This window comes from Homo sapiens, chromosome X, assembly GCF_000001405.40.
Source record: "Homo sapiens chromosome X, GRCh38.p14 Primary Assembly".
Classification (NCBI taxonomy): Eukaryota; Metazoa; Chordata; class Mammalia; order Primates; family Hominidae; genus Homo; species Homo sapiens.
The window spans coordinates 13,327,994-13,349,305 of NC_000023.11; the positions used below are offsets into that span (position 1 = coordinate 13,327,994).

Sequence of the window (21,312 nt, forward strand, 5' to 3'; positions counted from 1 at the left end):
TCTTTCACCGAAAGTGTATGCTGACCCTGTGAGTGTTGAGGGATTGCAAGTAACCAGGTATTTATCACTGTATTACCCACCCCCATACTGCCCCTGGGATTTGTGGAAGTGTCCAGTTGTGAAACGGTGGTTTTCTGCTATCAGGGTCGACCTAGGATTACTGCAAGTATCCAGGTCGAGTGGTGTGTCCCATAAAGCTGGAAGAACTCAAGGTTCTTTGCAGGAGTCCTGGTGGAAAACCCTGTGTCCTTCTACGTATATGTTTTCATGCCTATTTCAGCCCCTGACCGTGACATCACAATGAGTATGATACAGGTCTGGAGGTCAGCACTGATGAGGACTGAAAGCAACGCACGGGCCACGTAAGGTTCAGCAGTCTAGGAAAGTGATGATGGTGTCCATCCTTCCTGTTGTTCCCATGATTTCACTTCAGTTGTCCTAGGAAAAAATGGTAAGACTCCCTGGCATAGTAAACTGTGAGTTTTCCCTCTGCATATTTCAGAGACAATGACTAACCCTGTGAGTGCAGTGGGACAGCAAATACCAGGTAATGATCTGGCTTTCCCAGCCACAGCAGTGACCGTAGACATTTTGCAGGTGTCCTGTAGAGAGAAATGCTGTCTTCTGGGACCACGGCCCTGAGCTTGGGGACCCTGTCAGCATCCAGGTAAGAGTCTTTCAGTGATGGATGTGAGCATCGTGATTTGCAGGTATCCTGTTAGAACAGCTTGTGTGTTTCTGAGGCATATATCTCAGTTTATGCTTTCCAGGTTCCCGGGAGGAAATCCTAACTAACCAGAGACACAATCAGGGGACGTGTCTGCTATCTGGGTAAGTGATGGTATGTGCTGTAAACTCAACACAGACCATTTGATCTTAATGTATTAGGTCAGTGAGGTTCCTTTCCCTGAACGGTTTACCATGTGATGGGTTTATGGGTGTTCTGGTAAGAAAGGGTAGTAGCTCCCCGTTCTCATTGCCATGTGATCCTGTTGTTTTCAGTCCAGGAGAGAACGTATGAGGTATGTACCCTGTGAGTGCTGATTGATTGGCACGTGCCCAGGGAATTCACATGGCACTGTGCATCACAGGAGTAACCATGGTGGCTTTGCAGAGAAGCGGGCCAGAGAAAATAGCATGTCCTGCAATGGCCTAGACCTTGGAGGACCTGCAAACATCCAGGTACAATTTTGGCTCCCACAACGATGATCGTGAGCAGGCGGTTTTCATGGTCCTAGTGGAAATGCTGTGTCCATAGACACATTGGTCACATATGTGGTTTTAGGTTCCCGTGGAAAGGTCACAGGAAACCTCTTCGTGCTTGAGCGGAGGACTGTGCCTGTATTTAGGTGGGTGATGGCGTGGGCCTAAGCAGGCCACGGACTATCCGATCTTCCCATACACAGGTAAATGCAGATGGCTTTCTGGCTCTTGTCCCTGTCCTGCCATGGGTTCCTCGGCTCATTTTCTGTTCTTTATTTTCTGCAGTTATTCAGTTAAGAAACGATGCTTTGCCAACCAAGACTGGTAAGCATTAGTCCTTGCTATGTTCAACTTTAGGAAAATGTGCCTTGAACCTGAGTCCGTGTTGACTGAGGGAGATGTGGGTGTCCAGGTAAATTATCCTACTCTACCAGACCACAGGATGGAATGATAGTTCTGACACATCCTCAGTCCAGAGTCAATAATGGTGCCAGCAGTGGGGTGGAAGTTGGAGTTCTGCCAGGATCTAGGTAAGGCCGATGGTTCCCAGATGATGGCAGTGACCAGGCTGTGTAGTGCATATCTTTTTCGTCTTTCAGGTACGCCAAGTGGCATCCCGGAAAACACCTGTCAGATGCATTTCTTCTGCTGCTGCTAGTCATGAGATCAAGGCCAGCCTGAGAACGGCCATTCAGGGGCCCTGGATTGTAACTGGTTAATTGATCACATGAGTCCTATGCCAGTACAGACCACCTGAACTTCAGATTTCCTGGACAAAGAGGGCACTCTCCTTGACACACTGTTTTTCCCATGGTTTCCTGCAGGAGTCCCGTAAAGTTCTCTTCCTGTAGAGAGGTAGGAGATGTTGTGACATTATCTCGTGAAAGACATTTTGTGTTTCCTGCATGTAGATAAAATTAATGACGGTTTTGAGTCTGGTAGAGTAACCTTGTGTTTGGCATATGTGTCATTGGGAAAAAATAATTAGTGATTCCCAATGCCAGTAAGCATGAGATTTTACTGTTTGCTTATTCAGAGGTAAGGCTTTGTTTGTTTGTTTTTTGCAAATTTCACACTCCACGCAATAGACAGATATGCCAATGCCCAGGTAGTTGATCATATTGTCTGTCACCCAGATGTGGACTGTGGTGTTTCTGCAGGTATCCCTTGTAGACTGTAGCCTCAGAGTTCTTCTGTTATCCAGGTAGCCTTGATGAGTCGTGAAATGATGCCAGTGAACAAGAGTATTTGTGATTGTCCTTGTAGCATAGGTTGTGGACCAAGCAGTTTCCATAATATGTCTTTCAGATGTGTGTCAGGGCATCACAGCAGGCCTTTCAATCCTAGGTAATGTGGGACATTGCTGGGTGAGGTAAGTGCCACAGCCTGCAGTGTGGGACTGTTACAGAGACCTAGTTCTGTGATGATGTGTCCCTACATGTCTTCCCATCGTGATTTCTTTCCCAGGTATTTGGGAGAGAAATGATTGAGTCCTTACCAATCCCAGGTAGGCCGAGTTTTCACATTTTCTGTTTCACCAAAAGTATATGCTGAACCCTGAGAGTGTTGAGGGATTGCAGGTAACCAGCCAGGTATTTATCACTGTGTTCCCCACCCCTGTTCTGCCAATAGGATTTCTCCTGGTGTCCAGTCAAGAAATAATGGATTTCTGCATAGATTTTGACCGTGTATCACTGAAGTTGTGCAGGTAGATTTGATATGTCTCATAATTGTGGAAGTAGCTAAGTTTATCTGCTGTTTTTCTGATGTACAAACTTGTGTCCTGAAACATATTTTTCGTAGTGTGTTTTTGAGATCCTATTACAGAGATGAAGATTAATCTAACCTTGGTTTTCAGTGGCAGATACTTATGTTACTAAGTGCTGATGTGAACCTAAACCAAAAAACAGCCTATGAATATCGTATTTCTTGATAAGAGATGAACATGGCTCTTACACTTGTCATTACTATGATTTCTTTCAGATATTCCGATAAGAAATGTAGAGTCCTGGCTGAGCGCAGTGGCCCACGCCTGTAATCCTGGCACTTTGGGAGGCCGAGGCTGGTGGATCACAAGGTCAGGAGATCGAGACCATCCTGGCTAACACGGTGAAACCTCGTCTCTACTGAAAATACAAAAAATTAGCCAGGCATGGTGGCGGGCGCCTGTAGTCCCAGCTACTCTGGAGGCTAAGGCAGGAGAATGGCATGAACCCGGGAGGCGGAGCTTGCAGTGAGCCAAGATAGCGCCACTGCACTCTAGCCTGGGACAGAGCGAAACTCTGTCTAAAAAAAACCAAAAAAAATGTAGAGTCCTTATCACCTCTCAAAGCCAAGGGTTTTTCCTCTCTCTCTCTCTCTCTCTCTATATATATATATATATATAAATTTTTTTGAAAATTCAGTTATCTTTTATTTAAATTATATTTTAAGTTCTCAGATACATGTGCAGAAAGTGCAGGTTTGTTACATAGGTATGCATGTGCCTTGGTGGTTTGCTGCACCCATCAACCCGTCATCTACATTAGGTATTTCTCCTAATGCTATCCCTCCTGTAGCCCCCCACCCCCTGACAGGCCCCGGTGTGTGATGTTCCCCTCTTTCTGCCCATGTGTTCTCATTGTTCAACTCCCACTTATGAGTGAGAACATGTGGTGTTTGGTTTTATGTTCCTGTGTTAGTTTGCTGAGAATGATGGTTTCCAGATTCATCCATGTCCCTGCAAAGGACATGAACTCATTCTTTTTTATGGCTGCGTAGTATTCCATGGTGCATATGTGCCACATTTTCTTTATCCAGTCTATCATTGATGGGCATTTGGGTTGGTTCCAAGTCTTTGCTATTGTGAATATTGCTGCAATAAACATACGTGTGCATGTGTCTTTATAGTAGAATGATTTATAATCCTTTGGGTATACACCCAGCAATGGGATGGCTGGGTCAAATGGTATTTCTGGTTCTAGATCCTTGAGGAATAATCAAAACCACAATTAGATACCATCTCACGCCAGTTAAATTAGTCCTCTTTATATTTTAAGAAAACATTTGTTTTGCCCTGTGAGTGTTGTTGGATTGCACATATTCAGATTATCATGAGATATTCCCATCTGCTGTAGTAAACGTGGAAATTTTGAAGGTGTCTGACAATAGTTTTGGTCCTGGAGTACTAAAAGTATCCAGATAGAGTTCATGTTTTCCATAGTGATAAATGCAACCAAAGCTATTAGCAAGTTGTACTGCTAGAACATGTTACGTGTTTTTTACACATATGTCATAATATGTTTTTCAGATTCCTGGAAGAAATCCCAATGAACAGGGGTCATTATCAGGCCACATTTCTGGTATCTGTGGTAAGTAATGATGTTCACTTTAACCCCATCACAGACCATTTGATCTTCATATATCTAGGTAAGTGATGTCTGTTTACGTGAACTGTTTATCATGTGCTTTTATAACAGTGATTTTTGTAAGTAATGACAGTATTTCTAGTTCTAGTGACCATGTTATATTGTTTTTAATTTAGAGAAAACTTATGGTTTACGCTGTGAGTATCAAATGATTTGCGTGTACACAGATAACAACGTGGTGTGCTTCATAGTAGTAACTGTGGTATCCTTGCAGATAGGTAGTCAAGAAAAAATGGTGTGTCCTTCAAGGTTGTAGACCTTGGGAATACTGCAAAATTCCATGTAGATTTATGTCTTCTGCAATGATGACAGCCAACAAGTTATTTGCAGGGTTCTGGTGGAAGAGTTGTGTCCACAGACACATTTGTCATAATGTGGTTTCAGGTTCCTCTCAAGGGGTCATGGGAAACCTCATCATGATCAACAATGGGACATTGCTGGTATCCAAGCCAATTATGATGTGGGCCTTAAACACCCTACAAAAATGTGATCTACAGAAATGTAGGTAACTGTAGATGGTTTTCCTAATTTTTGTGTTGCCATATTTTGTGCAGGTATTTAGTTAAGGAATTATATTTTCCCAACCAACGCAGGTAAGCATCAGTCATTATTTTAGAGTTTAGTTATAATGTGTTTAGTCTTATAGTGAGGGAGGGATATGCAGGTATCCAGGTAAGTTTTCCTACTGTTTCCCACCACGTTATTGACCATGAGACTTCAACATCATCAAGAGATGATGGTGCCACTACATTGTTGACATTGAAGTCATGGCAAATCCAAGTAGTGTTGAAGGTTCCCTGCTGATGGAAGTGCCCAGAATTATTTGTGTCTTGTCTTTTTTTATGTAAAACAAATTGTTTCCTTAAACACACTTGAGCAATGTGTTTTTTAGTTTTCTGTAATGAGCTCACAATCAAGCTTAACAATAGTCATTAATGGAACCGTGCTGTAACCTGCTAATTGAGAAAGTGTGTTTCCCACAATCAGACCATTAGATCTTTATATTTCCATGTAAGTGAGGATGGTGTCCTTAACACTTGTCTACCATGTATTCCTGCAGGTATCCTGTTAAGTTCTTTCCTAGTATACAGGTAGAAGATTATGTGATATTAACACATTAGCAACCTTCCTATTTTCAGATATGTAGGTGATTAATGATTTTTTTGAGACTCTTCTTGTAACCTTGTGTTTGTCATGCATGCAGTTAAGAAATTACTTTTTCCCTAACATTACTAGTAAGAGTGAGATTTTACTGTGTTCTTGTTTAGACATAATGTGTATTTATCAATTGTAGTGATATATGGATATGCGAGTATCCAGGTAATTTATCATATTGTCCATCACTGTAATGCTGAGATTTTTGTAGGTATCACTTCAAGAGAGGAAAGTTTCTCTTACGAGTGTTTTCCCTTGGCATTATGCAAGCATCCAGTTACCTTTGATAGGCCCTGAAATGATGAAAGAGACGAAGGGAATTTGCAGGTGTACAGGTAGAATGAGACATTTAGGAAACACATTTTCAACAGTATATTTTTTAGGTTCATTTGAAGAGGTCACAGTGAGCCTATCAGTAATAGTTAACAGGGGTCATTGCTCGTATGGATGTGCATGATAATGTGGGCCTAAAACACAGCCCAGCCCATCTGATCTTCCCTTATATAGGTAAGTGGTGGTGTCCCTAACACTTCTGTTACTATGATTTTGTTGTAGCTGTTCAAGTAAGAAATGATAGAGCTCTTACCAATTTAAAAAAACATTATTTTTCTCACTTTTTATATTTTAGAATAACTTTATGATTAACCTCTGAGTTTTGAGTGATAGTGCCTATCCTGGTTATTGGTGTTTCTTACCACAGCAGTAACCAGGGGATTTTTACAGGTGTCCTGTCAAGAAATGACCGTCTTACCTGACAGTGGTATTGATCTTGCATTATTACAAGTATCCAGGTAGAGTTTATGTGTTCTGTAATGATGGAGTGACGAAGGTTATTTTCAGATGTCTTGGTGGAAATGTTTGTGTCCTTTAACACATATTTCACAATGTGTATTTCAGGTTTCTGTAGTGAGACCCTGATAAACCTAACAATGGTTGGTATGGCAGACATTTCTGGTATGCAGGCAAGTGATGATGTGTTCTTTAACCACATCATAGACCATCAGATCTTCTTATATCTTTTTTTTTTTTTTTTTTGACAGAGTCTCGCTTTGTCACCCAGGCTGGAGTGCAGTGGGGTGATCTCGGCTCACTGCAGCCTCCACCTCCCAGGTTCAAGCGATTCTCGTGCCTCTGCATCCTGAATAGCTGGGATTACAGGTGTGCACCACCACATCCTGCTGATTTTTGTATTTTGAGAGATGGGGTTTTGGCACGTTGGCCAAGCTGGTCTCGAACTCCTGGCTTCAAGCAGTCCACCCACCTTGGCCTCCCAAAGTGCTGGAATTACAGGCGTGCACCACCACGCCCGGCCAGATCTTCATATATCTAAGTAAGTGTTATACATTTACCTAAACTTTTTTACTGTGTGATTTTTTTCCATAGGTACTCAAGTAAGAAATGATAGTCTTTACTAACTACAGCAACCATGTTATCCTGCTGTTTTATATTTTAGAGAAAATTTATGTTTAACTTTGTGATTGGCGAGCTATTTGCTATCCAAGGAATTAACCATGGAGTTGCATGTCATAGTAGCAATTGTGGGTTTGTTTGCAGGTAAGTAGTAGAGAGAAAATGGTATCTGTAACAGTGCTATAGACCTTGCAGTACTGCAAGATTCCAGGTATACTTGATGGTTCTTGGAATGATGGTAGTGAATAAGCTTAATTGTGGGGTTCAAGGAAAAAAGCTGTGTCTACACACATTTGTCATAATGTGTTTTTAGGATCCTGTCAAGAAGACATGGTAAACCTCATCATGATCAAGAATGAGACTTTGCTTGCATCCAGGTAAGTAATGACGTGGGCCTTAAGCAAGCACTCAGAAAACAATCTGATCATCAGATCTATAATTAAGTGTGGATGGTGCTTCTAACTTTTGTGTTACCATGGTTTTTTTGCAGGCATTCAGTTAAGAAATGATGTTTTCCCAACCAAGGCTAGTAAGCATTAGCCCTTATTATTTTACAGTTTAGATATAATGTGTAGTATCTAACCAAGCTGGGCATAGTTGCATGTGCCTATAGTATGAGCTACTCTGGAGGCTGAGGCGGGAGGATCACTTGAGCCCAGGAGGTTGAGGCTGAAGTGAGCTGTGATCACACCACTGCACTCCAACTTGGGTAACAGGACAAAACCCTGTCTCTTAAAAAAATAAAAGAGATATAATGTGTGTTTAACATTAGTCTCTAAGGAGGGCTATGCCGGTATCCAGGTGAGTTATCCTACTCTTCCACATTATAGTATGAACAATGAGATTTCTAAGTCAAGCGATGATGGTATCTCTAACATTAGTGTTGATCTCAAAGTTCTACTAAGATCGAGGTAGTGTTGGTGGTTCCTCTAATGAGGAAAATGACTGATACAAGTTGCAGGTGCCCCGTCCTTTTTTGCAGGTAAAACAGCGTGTTTCATTAAACACATTCATCATTGAATGTGTTTCTTCAGGTACCCATAGTCATGAAATCATAGTGAACCTAACAGTGGTCATTTATGTGTTCTTGGTAGTAACCAGGTCAGTGATAAATTGGGTCTTACCACACTACAGACCACCTGTTCTTCAGATTTTTAGGTAAGCAAGTATGGTCCCTCTAACACAGTGTTACTGTGTTTGTCTTTTTCAGGCTTCCCAAAAGTTGTTTGATAGTATACAGGCATGAGATGGTGTGACTCTAACTCATTAGATGCCTTCGTCTTTTCAGTCATGTAAGTAATGAATGGTGTTTTCAAGGCCGTTACATAAACCTTGTTTATGGCATGTATGCAGTTTAAAAATTAAATTATCCCTACTACTAACAGGAACCATGAGTTTTTAATGTATTTTTCTTTTGAGATAATGTGTATTTAACACTTGTACTGATAGACATATATGCAGGTATCTTGCTATTTTATCATATTGCTCATCACCACATTATTGGCCATGGGATTTTTGGAGGTATCTGTCAAAGAGTAGACGGTGCCTCTTCCTATAGTTTGACTTTGTAGTTCTGCCCTTATCTAGCTTTTGTGGGCCCCAAAAGATTCAAGAAACCAAGGGAATTTGTAGCTGTACAAGTAGAATTAGACTAGTACCAAACCCATTTCCCACAATGTGTTTTCCAGGGTGTGTCAAGAGATCACGGTGAGCCTATCTACGGTAATTAATATGTGATATTGCTGGTTTTGAGGTAAATGATGATGGAGAGACCTAAACCAGAGCACAGATTACCTGATCTTCATATAGATACAAGTGATGGTTGTGTCCCTAACACTTGATGTTACCATGATTTCTTTTTAAATGTTCAGATAGGAAATGATAGAGTCTTTACCAATTCTCAAAACCACGAATTTTCCCTCAGCCTCCCGAGTAGCTGGGACTACAGGCACGCGCCACCATGCCCAGCTAAATTTTTGTATTTTAGTAGAGAAGGGGTTTCACCGTGTTGACCAGGATGGTCTCAATCTCCTGAACTCGTGATCCACCCGCCTCGGCCTCCCAAAGTGCTGGGATTACAGGCGTGAGCCACCACACCCGGCCTCCTATTTTCTTTATTGAAAACCTGAGACCAATTGAAAAGCAATAAAACAAGCGTTCGAGAGCTTCTTTAAATCAATACAAGAGCTTCTTTAAGTGGAAATATATATCCAGTTGGTCAGACTCTCCATCATACACTTTGCTTTTTGTTGAAATTCAAAATAAAACTTTCTTTAAGGAAGCCTGGATCTCAGTCTTAAACCCCTAGCTATAAATGTCTCCAACAAAGGGGAAGGGAAGCAACCTAGTCTGAATTTTAATTCAGCCAAATGGGAAACCCATGACCTTCCATTCTCCTCTGATTTTACCATTCTTCTAGGATCCATTTCACAGCTATTGTTCATCTGGGTATAGAATCACTGCTTTGTATTTCAACACCATTGAAAATATGTCAGACCAAGACCCGTATAGTATAATTCTGCTGGAAAATAGAAGTTAAAGGGGTTAACCTGTAGTAGTAGATTAAGATAGTTATGGAAAAAAGGTTAAAGAAATGAGGGTTTAAAAAGCTTTCAACAAGTTGCTGTCACCTCTGGGCCATCCACATAGTAGGTACTCAATATGTGTTGAAGTAAATGAATGCTTCTTTATGGATTGGCTCATTCAACAACCATTCTTTCTTTCAGCATGTGATGGAAAGAAAGCTATCAACTTCATTCCTGAGACTTCCTGCAACACAGGTGGGTGAGCATGATTTAGGTTCCACCATCAGATGTTCACATGTAACCTCTATTGGAACTGAGCCATGGGTAGAAAGGCAGGAGAGTGGACATATATTTTACTAGCATGGATTGTGGCAGGGGTACCATGGTTCTGGCTACATATGTTTGAGGAGCTTGGAGTTCATAAAACAGAGGCAAGCCAGAGCTAGAGATGTAGCTTAGGGTCAGATATGTTAAAGAAAACATTCTTTCATTTTTCCATTTTTGCCTTTTAGTTTTTGAAAATTTTACAGATAATGTTACAGGGATAAAAGAAATTGAAAAAGAAAGAAAAAACCATTATACCATCACTAAAATATATAAACACTTTATTTTTCCCTGTTATCAGTCATTACCCACATTTATACATATCATATAGGGAACATAAGGTTCATATAATTTTCTGATTTCTTTCTCTTAAAATGACATTGTAAATATATACACTCATATTTAATATATGGAAAAATGCAAAAATGACAAGGAACATTTAAACGTGTAAATCTATGCATATAGAAGTCATTTGTTCATTTAACAGTAGGTACCTACTGGTAGTAGGTACAATTCCCTGCTTTGATGATCAACAGTGAAGAAACCACACAAAGTTCATGCCTAAGGAAGATTACATTCTCTAATGGGTTCAACTCCAATGATCCATACATTCTTGTGTCCCTGGGAGAGTCTCACCTTATTTCATTGTCTCATTATAATTATTAATAGCTCTCACTCTCAAGAGTGTCTCAGTTTGGATAATACATTACATAGTCACCCTGGACATAATAGAGAATATAGAGGTGAGGACATATATTAACTGCAGAGTAATAAGTGCTATAAAAATATCCATTCCAGCTGGACACTGAAGATGAAAAAATAGAAATTTAAATGTTTTTAACTTAAAAATAAATATCCTAAAGTAAGGTGACAGTAATTTGGGGAAAGGACTTCTTTCAATTGGGTGGTCAGGGCAGTTCTTTCTGAGGGGAGCACAGAATGAATGACAAGAAGGAGCCAGTCGGATAAAGAGTGAAGGTGTAAGCATTGTAAGAACAGCAAGGGGAAACGACATATCCAGAGGACAGAGAGAGGCAGTGTGGATGAAGGGCAGTGTGCAGGGATGGAAGTGGCCCAAGGGGAGGCAAGGGCTAGGTTTTTAAGGCCCTGCCTGTCGTGAGGAGGAGCTTGGGTTTCCTTTGAAATGCAATGGACAGTCTTTAAAAGAGAGCAGAGTGACCTCACTTACTTGTCTGTGCCAAATGTCTTCAAACCCATAGGCCAGAAAATCACTCTCTGATGAAGCTCTCATATTTAAAAATACTGTGTCTCCTCCAATAAAGCCACAGACACCAGGATTCTTTGGAAAAATATGTTTTTTACCAACACTGGAATGAAAGATAAATTATTACATGAAACATGAAGCTTAAAGTTCTCAGAAGCAGATATATTTATAACTTTTTCCCCTAACGTATTGAAAGATAAAGTGCTGAACTTTAGAACTTTATAACAGACTCACAAATAAATGCAAGGCTTCATGAGTTTTATCAAGCTCTCCTCTTGTCATCAGTGATGGTAGTGAAGGATTATACAGTTTGAAGGTAGTTGGGACAAGTCTCCCGACAAGGGAGTGGTGACTTGGGACTAACTAACTGAAGAGGGAGGGAAGGGCAAGATGCCAGAAATCTGGTGGAAGACCTTGGTAGTAGGTATTCCAGCAGCTTCCAGATTCTTTCTGAGGCAATTTAAAGAGATGCAGCTCAGAGGTGCAACTCCATCCTGCTAGGCTTGGTCTTCTAAGGCCCAGCACTTGGCCACACAGGTTATGCAGCACACCAGAATGCCAGGCTGTAAAAGCTAGATCGAGGGCCAAATTCCAGGTCACACCCTGCTTACCAAACCATGCCAGCTCGAAGGGACACCTCCTCAATTCAGCTCTGCTTTACCTCTCTGCTTATGAATTCCAAGCTCCTGATACACATCTGGTCAGAACCATGGTACCCCTCCACAATCCACGCCAGGAAATTGGATGTCTACTCCCTGCCTTTCTTCCCATTGTTTGGGGACTTTTCCTTAGTTCAGCTGAAGACGGGGTCCTTGTCACACGGCCACGAAAATTTAGGCTTGCAGATTATTTGAAGGGTGAGTAGGGCACGGTTTTATTGGGTGAAAAGGAAGAAAAGGAGAAAAGAGACACCTAGCAAAGCAAGAGAGTGTGCTTCCTGCCCGTGGGCTTCTCAGGTACCACCGAGGAAGAGGAGGGGCAAGGCTCCTCTCCCCTGCAAAAGCTGGACGTTCTGTGGCTCCACCCCACTGCGCGCTCCTTCCAGTGTGCAGGTCGGTCGGAGGCTCTGCCAGGGAGCCCTTCCCACCTGGCTGTCTCACCATGGCTTTGGGAAAGGGCTGTGCCCAGAGGGGATTCTTTTCTATACAACACAAAGGCTTTGTCTGTGCTCAGCAGCCGTGTGTTTAGGACATTTCCTGGGCCTTATGGCCTCTGACAGTCATCCTTTACTGTCTAAATCTCTTAGCAGATGCACCCTCACCAGCTAGCCAATTCTGTCTCCTGGTTCTCACCCTGGGTATGAGACTATGCTGATTTCTTGTTTCAGCAACATCCCGGGCATAAAACAGCATTTTTTGTTATTTACTCACGTAAATAATCAGTTGCTGGAGGCTGTTCTGGAAAGCAGGACACATACAGCACACATAGGAATGAATCCATCCAGCACTGCTCCTCCTTGGAGCCAGGAGTCCCATTAGGGCTTCATCATCTCCTCTGTCACCATTTGGTACTTTTGGTTCTTTCTGTCTCCCTCAAGACTAGTTAAGACAGCTAATGTGTGGATGCAGTTTCGAAAACAATACTTTTCATAGCAGTGGTTTGAGCTAATGGTGTTTTTCATCTCAAAAATGTTTTACAAACATTAATTAAGCTTATGTAGCTCCCTGGTGGGCTTAGGCAGAAAGAATGCCCAGAGAGAGAGAGTTTCCGCTTTTCCTCCAAGCCACAGAAAGTCCTCAAGGAAACAGAAGGCCTGGGGCTTCAGCCCAGCAGTCCTTTGCTTGAAGAAGACTTAACATACCTTTACAACTTTCCTGATGCTCAGAAAATGAAGTCTTTTGTGATACTTCATAAAATGAAATCTCTTAGAATGCTTTGGGTTTTTTTGGGGGGGGGTGTTGCGGGGGTTTGGTTTTTGTTTTGTTTTGTTTTGTTTTGACAGAGTCTCACTCTGTCGTACCTAGGCTGGAGTGCAGTAGTGCAATCTCGGCTCACTGCAACCTCTGCCTCCTGGGTTCAAGTGATTCTCCTGCCTCAGCCTCCCGAGTAGCTGGGATTATAGCCGCCCACCACCACGCCCAGCTAATTTTTTCTATTTTTAGTAGAACGGGGTTTCATCATGTTGGTCAGGCTGATCTCAAACTCCTGACCTCAGGTGATCCACCCACCTCGGCCTCCCAAAGTGCTGGGATTACAGGCGTGAGCCACCGCGCCCAGCCCCCTTGGAATGCTTTGTAAAATGAAGTCCAGCCTGGACCACCTGTCAGAAAGTATTTTTTCTTTATTGTTGTGGCAAAGTATGTATCTATTGATATATTCTTAGTGAAGCAGGGAAACAGAAACTGCAAACCTAAACCAATTCAATAAAACATTACTTATTTCTCAGTAGGAAGAGGGAAAAAAGCTAGCAAGCATGAGTAAGAAGGAAGGATATGAGAGAATAGGAGATTCTTAAAGGCATTCTTTTCATTTCCTTCTTCTGACGCAGAAATCCAAACAAAAGCTTTAGAAGAAACACCTGGAAAAATAGTATCTCCACTTTGAAAATGCAGAAATACAGGCATAATACAATGGTGAAATTTATTCATGGTCATTCTCATCTCAATCAATGGTTCTCAACCAGGTGCTATTTTGCCCCCCAGGGACATCATTTTACAATGTCTAGACATTTTTGGTTGTCACCACTTGGGGAGGCGGTGTAAGGGTGGGCAAGTGGAGTGATACCGGCATCTAGTGGGTAGAGGATAAGGATGCTGCTACAAACATTGTACAATGCACAGGATAGCTCCCATCACCAAGAATGCTCTGACAGTGGTGCCAATGTTGAGGAACCCTATTCTAAATCATTGCCTTGTCAGAGATGGATCTCCAAATCAAGTTGGAGTTTGTGGTATGTCATCCACACAGTTGACTCCAACCCACCCAACTCCAAGCAGGCTCAACATGGTGATGTTTCCCACTACTTGCTCTAGGATACCTTCATTAGGCCTGAAGACCCAACCTGTGCACAGACTCTAAACTCAAACATGTACCTAGCTGCATTCTTGATTTTCTCACACAATCATGGCCATGCTTATATTTTGAAGTGATCCAGGATCCTTTTACTTTTTCTTCTAGTTCATTAAGGTGTAATTGACAAACAAAATTCATATATATTCAAGCTGTACAATGTGATGATTTGATATAGGCATACACTGTGAAGTGATTATCACAAATTAACACATTCATCGCCATATCTAGTTATCTCTGTGTGTATATGTGTGTGTGTGTGTGTGTGTGTGTGTGGTGAGGACACTTAAGATCTACTCTCTTAGCAGATTTCAAGTAAACAAGAATGTATTATTAACTGTGATCATGCTGTATGTTAGATCACATACAGCTGTATGTTACACCATGCTGTATGTTAGATCACATAAGTTCTGGTGAACTTACTCATTTTATAACCAAAAGTTTGTACCCTTTGACCAACATCTCCCATTTTCCTCACCTCCCAGCCCCTGGCAACCACCATACTACTCTCTGCTTCTATGAGCTTGACTTTGTTTAGATTCCACATATAAGTGAGACTGTAGGAAAGTTTAAATTTTTTCCCCTGAAGTTTCAGTCATTTGAGTTTATAAAACAAACTGATAATAGATTATCGGGAAAAACAGGCATACAAATTTTATTGTGTGCACATGTGTATGGAAGTCATACAAGCTCAAAGAAATGGCTAGAGGGTTGACACTTTTATACCATCTTGAGGTTACAGCAAGAATGAGGACTTGGATTATAGCAAAACAGGTTATGGTGGCAAGACAGGTTATGGGACAGAGAGAAGAGGAGGCCTGGCTAGTAAAGGTGGTCTTGTTATGCAGATGAAATCTCACAGATGAAATCTCTCTGAAATCCCTCAGAGAGAAGAGATGGGAGCCTGTGATAAATGTTTCTGCAGGGCCTTTAAAGTGTCAAGACTCCCAGGTGATCCTTCCTGGATCCAGAGGGAGAGAGTGGGGTGGTGTTTCAAAGAATACATGATAGCATCTGTTGTTTACTTCATTTTACTCCCTCTACAGTTGCAAATCTCCTTCACACAAGATAGCTTTGCAGGCCACTTCTGTTGGCAGGCCCTGTGAACAGCCACCTCAAAATATGTCAAAATATATATTAAAATTTTTTTTTAATTTCAATACCTTTAGGGGTACAAGTAGTTTTCGGCTAAATGGATGAATTGCATGGTGGTAGTCTGGGATTTTAGTGCATTCATCACTCAAGTAGTGTACATTGCATCCAATATGTAGTTTTTCATTCCTCATCCTCCTCCTACCTCCTCCCTTCTGAGTCTCCAATGTCCTTTATACCACTCTGTATGCCTTTGCATACCCATAGCTTAGCTTCCACATATAAGTGAGAAAATACGGTATTTGGTTTTCCATTCCTTAGTTAACCTCTCTTAGAATAATGGTCTCCACTTCCACCCACGTGTGTATATGTGTGTGTGTGTGTATATATATATATATATGTATGTATATGTGTATGTGTGTGTGTGTATATATGTATGCATATTGTATATATATATATGTATATTCCTACCAGCAGTGCATAAGCACTCCCTTTCCACCACATCCATGCCAACATCTATAGTTCTTTGAGTTTTTAATGTCCATTCTGGCTGGGGTAAGGTGTTTTGCCATGTTTCCCAGGCTGGCCTTGAACTCGTGGTCTCAAGCGATCCAGCTACCTCGGCCTCCCAAAGTGCTAGGATTACAGGCATGAGTCACTGCACTGGGTCAAGCTATTAATCCATCTTGAGTTAATTTTCGTATGTGGTGAGCAATAGGGATGCATAATATTTTGGGGTGAGATATTTTGGTTTCTTTCAGATCATACAGTAATTGTGTCTAGTTTATTTCACTTATCATAATGTTTCCCATATGGATAGCAGGATTTTCTTCTTTTTATGATCAAATAGTATTTCAGTGTATTTATTTATGTAATTAATTTATTTTTTGAGACAAAGTCTCACTCTGTCACTCAGGCTGGACTGCAATGGTGCGATCTCGGCTCACTGCAACCTCTGCCTCCCAGGTTCAAGCAATTCTTGTGCCTTAGCCTCCTAAATAGCTGGGATTACAGGTGCCCGCCACCACACCCAGCTAATTTTTGTATTTTTAGTAGAGACAGGGTTTCGCCATGTTGTCCAGGCTGGTCTTGAACTCCTGGCCTCAAATGATCTGCCTGCCTCGACCTCCCAAAGTGCTGGGATTACAGGAATGAGCCACCACACCTGGCCTCATTGTATTTACATACCACATTTTCTTTATTCATTCATCCATCCATTGACAGACACTTAGGTTGTGTCCATATCTTGGCTATTGTGAATAATGCTGCAATGAACATGGAGGCTCAAGTATCTCTTGGAGATACTGATTTTATTGTAATAGCAGAGACATAGATCAGTGGAACAGAATAAAGAGCCCAGAAATAACCCCACACATGTACAGTCAACTAGTCTTTGATAAGGGTGCCAAGAATACATGATGGGAACAGGACAGTCTCTTTAATAAATGGTTTTCGGAAAACTAGATACCCTCATGCAAAGAATAAAATTGGGGTTTTATCTCACGTTATATGCAAAAATTAACTCAAAATGGATTAAAGACGTAAAACCGTAATACTCCTAGAAGAAAACACAGCAAAAGCCTTCCTTGACGTTGGCAGTGATATGTTTAGATATGACCGCTAAAACACAAGCAACATAAGCAATGAACAAGTGAGACTACATCAAACTAAAAAGCTTCTACACAGCAAAGGAAACAATCAGCAAGGTGAAGCGGCTACCTCCAGGCTCCTTTTATTCAGAAAGGCATACACATTTCTGCTCAAATATTTTGCCAGTTCATTTTATTTGAGTAGAAACAGTCAAATGCCACATAAAGGAAAGCCCCCTCTAATGAACCCTCTGAAGCACATCATGTTAACTTTCCCATGCTAACTAATGTTGAGAAAGAGGAAGTTTTGCATTTTTTCCTTTGCCCCCTTGTTACAAAATCATCTGTTGACCTACAACCGGCGTTCTGCTTAAACGATTGTGTGCAGTGATCTTTAGAAAATGCAGTAGAGGAGAGAAAGGGGTCACAAGGGGAAAAAGATAGATTCACTTAAACTGCATGCATAGAAACCCTCCTTTTTTCTTTACAAGTTTTATCATGAAGCAAAAATATTGAGAGATAGTAACGTCAATCAAAATTACAATCAAGTTAAACAATCTGGTGCATTCATCACTTTAGTAGTGTACATCCCTGTTTGTATTTTTCATTTCATTTCTATTAAGATTTAGTACACAACCTAAAATACAAAGACAACTAGGACAAAATTCCTGCCTTTGAGCTCAGTTAACCATGGGAAATAAGTAATAAAACAACTTAGACAGGAAGTATAATGAAGGTTACCAGGGACTGGAAGCGGGGGAAGAGTTATTGCTTAGTAATAGAGTATTTTGGGGTGATGAAAAAGCTTTGGAAACAGATCATGGTGATGGTTTTACAACTTTGTGAATGTAACTAATGCCACTGAGTTGTACACTTAAAAATGGTTAAAATCACAAATTTTATGTTGCACATATTTTATCACAATTTCTAAAATCAGAAAACCCTCAACTATCTGTGAAGTGTGACAACAGCTATAGATGAGATATACGTTAAAGATCTTGAGTAAACAAGAGAAATAATCTTTTAAAAACAAAATGTATTGAGTTTCTACTTTTTCTTAGGCACTCTACTAGGCACTTAATATACAGTGTCTCAGTCTGCCTCCAAGAAGCAGACACCAAGATGAAATTGGAAATTGAACGTGCAGCTGGGCTCAGTGGCTCACACCTGTAATCCCAGCACTATGGGAGGCCGAGGTGGGAGGATCACATGAGCCCAGGAGTTTAAGACTAGCCTGGGCAACATAGCAAAACCCTGTCTCTATTAAAAAAAAAACACACAAAAAATTAGCTGGGTGTGGTGGTGCGTGCCTGTCATTCCAGCTACTCAAGAGGCTAAGATGGGAGGATCGCTTCAGCCCAGGAGATCAAGGCCGCAGTGAGCCATGATTGTACCACTGCACTCCAGCCTGGGCAACAGACTGAGGCCCTGTCTCAAAAAAAGGAAAAAAAAAAAAAAAGAAATTGAATGAGCTAGAGATGTATTGGGAGAAACACCTGTGCAGGATAAAGGGGAGGAAGCAGGGGTGTGCAGGGAGAGTCTCCCAACTGCAGTGCAGGCCTGACACCAGCTTAGAGGAGCAAAGGAAGGGAGAAAGAGGATTGGAGACAGAGCCTCAGACTGCAGTGCTGGTGTCAGAATGTTTAAGCCAGATCAGTGGGAGGCCTTCAAGCCCATGTCTCCTACTAGAGGAGTCTCATCCTCCAGCAATGGGCCTGATTTAGTTTCTCTGCTGGGCTTCATCAATGGCCGGGTGCAGCCTGAGGGAAGCATGGCCTCAGGGCAAGCCTGATGGAGGATCCAGGGGGACAGCACCCAGTGCTGGGATACTTATTTGCCAACTGCACATTCTCTAGAAGGAGCTCTGACTAGTGTACTTCTGTGGTCACCATACACCTAACCTCATTTAAAGCTCACAACGCCTCTTCCAGGCATTTTATTACCTCCAATTAACAAAAAAGGTAAACAGTAAGTTGCCCCAAAGCACACAGCTCTTAAGTGGTTGAGCTAGCTTTCAAAGCCAGGTTCAAAAGACTCCAAAACCAGTGTTGTGTCTCCTATAATGTGGTAGATTAAATTATTGTTCAACAAGTATTTCCTTTCCCACACCTCCTGATCTCCATGGAAGGATCATTCTCTGCCCCACTGCCATGGGGTTAGCTGTGCGTTGTGTTTTAGCCATGGAATATAGGTTTAAAGAACTGTGGGCCAGTTCTTGAGTCTTGGCTTTGAGAGGCATCATGTGTTTGCACTCGTCTCTTTCACAAAGCCATGTCAGAAGGTAATAGGCATAGAATCAGAGTAGCCTAGCTGACCCTCTGCCTGAAGCAAAGCACCATGCCTCTCACCTAGCCAACCTGCAGACTCAGGAGAAAGAAAGGTTTGTAATGGTAAGCTACTGAGATAGGTAGGGATTTTGTATACAGCATTACTTTGGCAAGAGTTGACTGATACATACCATGTTGCCTTTACAGAAGGAGCCAGGAGCCATTGATTCTGCCTGGGGGAAAGGGCAAAAGATTCATGAAAGAAGTAACATTTGAGCAGATTATTATTTTTTATTTTTTTTGAGACAAGGTCTTGCCCTGTTGCCCAGGCTGGAGTGTGGTGGTGTGATCACAGCTCACTGCAGCCTGGACCTCCCGGGCTCAATTGATCCTCCCACATCAGCTGGCCAAGTAGCTGGGACTACAAGCATGGGGCACCATGCCTGGATAGTTTTTGTATTTTTTTGCAGAGACGGGGTTTCACCATGTCGCCTAGGCTGGTCTTGAACTCCTGAGCTCAAACAGTCCTCCCGCCTTGACCTCCCAAATTGCTGGCATTACAGGCATTATAAACATGAGCCACTGTGCCCAGCCAGATTGTTCTTAAAAATATAATTGCATTTTTGAAAAAAAAAGTTGAATCTCCTTTCATTGTCAAAAATTTGGAAACTATGGGAAGTAGTAAAAATAAAGTCAAAGAGATTACATATGTTGATTATATATATATATTAGACTGCTCCATGCATTCTAGGCCTTTATGTGCTCTGGGGTTTTGCCTTTTTCGCCTGACCTATTATCAGCAACAATTTGTGTTCTTACATATGATACAATATTCTTTGAAGGCATGGTTTGTAATGGCTGCAGATTGTTCATAGCAACAATAATTGTTTTAAGGACAAGGTGAAGCACACCAGAAGGAATTCTTTCATTCACTTATTTTAAAGTACTACTTATTGAGTACTTACTACATGTCAGGCACTGTTTGAGGCACTAGGAAAACAACTGTAACAAAATAGATAAAGCCCCAATATCTATCAACAGGTAATTGAATAAGCAAGTTGTAGTATATCCATACAATGGAATACTACTCAGCAATAAAAAAGAACTAATTACTGATACATACTACAATGTGGATGAAACTCAAAAACATTATGCTAAGTGAAAGGAGTGACACCAAAAACTACATGTTGTATGATTGCATTTATATAAAAATCCAGATAATTCAAAGAAGTCTTACAGTGACAGAAAGCAGATCAGTGATTGCCAAGGAGGAGGGCACGGAGAGAGAGAAAAGAAGTATAAGGGGCATGAGAAACCTTTTGTGAGTGATAGATGTGTTCATGAATGTGTACATATGTCAAAACTTTAAATATGTGCAGTTTACTGCATGTCAATGATACCTCCGTAGAGCTGTTTAAAAAGTGATGGGAGTACAGTGAGGGCTGAAGAAGTGGTGGACAAGCATTCTGAGCAGAAGGAAAAGCACATGCAAAGAAATAGAGGCATTTTGTTTAATAAGCCTGTAGGACTTACCATCTGCGAGGCAGTGTTTCAAGAGCTGTATAAATATTAACTCATTTTATCCTAACAACATCCCTCTGAGATAAGTACTATTAATGCCATCCTTATTTTGCAGATAAATTGAGGCACAGAATTACTAAGTAACTTGCCCAAAGGAACAGTAATTGTCAAAGCTGGGCTTTGAATCCAAGAGCCTAGGTCTAGAGTTCATAGTCTTAATTACTACAACATGCTGCCTCTACATGTCTGGGAACATATTTGGTAATATCTGTGTGTATATTTGAAAAGTCACATGACTATAGCCAAAAGTGGAGAGGGAAGAGAGGGAGGGGAAGACCTTGGAAATGTAGGTTGAGGTAAGCTCATTTAAGTATGCGAAGTCCAGGCCATATAATGAGAAGATATATTGGAACCCTCCTGAGTGATATCTTTATTTTGAATGGAAAAATCCATTCATTATCAAAGGCTAGTTATATCCTCAATGGAACACATCTGAAAGCAAAATTTCCACCACCCTTATAAAGGACTTAGTCCTGAATGCACAAATTGATCAGATAGTGTATTATGCTCCCAAAGTAGCTTAAG

The 21,312-nt window shown here is 41.3% G+C and overlaps 1 long non-coding RNA gene across 1 annotated transcript; it reads left to right on the forward strand.

The window, feature by feature from the left end:
• Nucleotides 1-7,247: 7,247 nt before the first annotated feature.
• On the forward strand, nucleotides 7,248-13,832 carry LINC01203 (long intergenic non-protein coding RNA 1203). The gene is made up of 7 exons (NR_045260.1): nucleotides 7,248-7,319; nucleotides 7,489-7,552; nucleotides 7,666-7,704; nucleotides 8,386-8,467; nucleotides 9,902-9,955; nucleotides 11,933-12,106; nucleotides 13,738-13,832. It is a non-coding gene; the product is annotated as a long intergenic non-protein coding RNA 1203 (long non-coding RNA).
• Nucleotides 13,833-21,312: the final 7,480 nt, after the last annotated feature.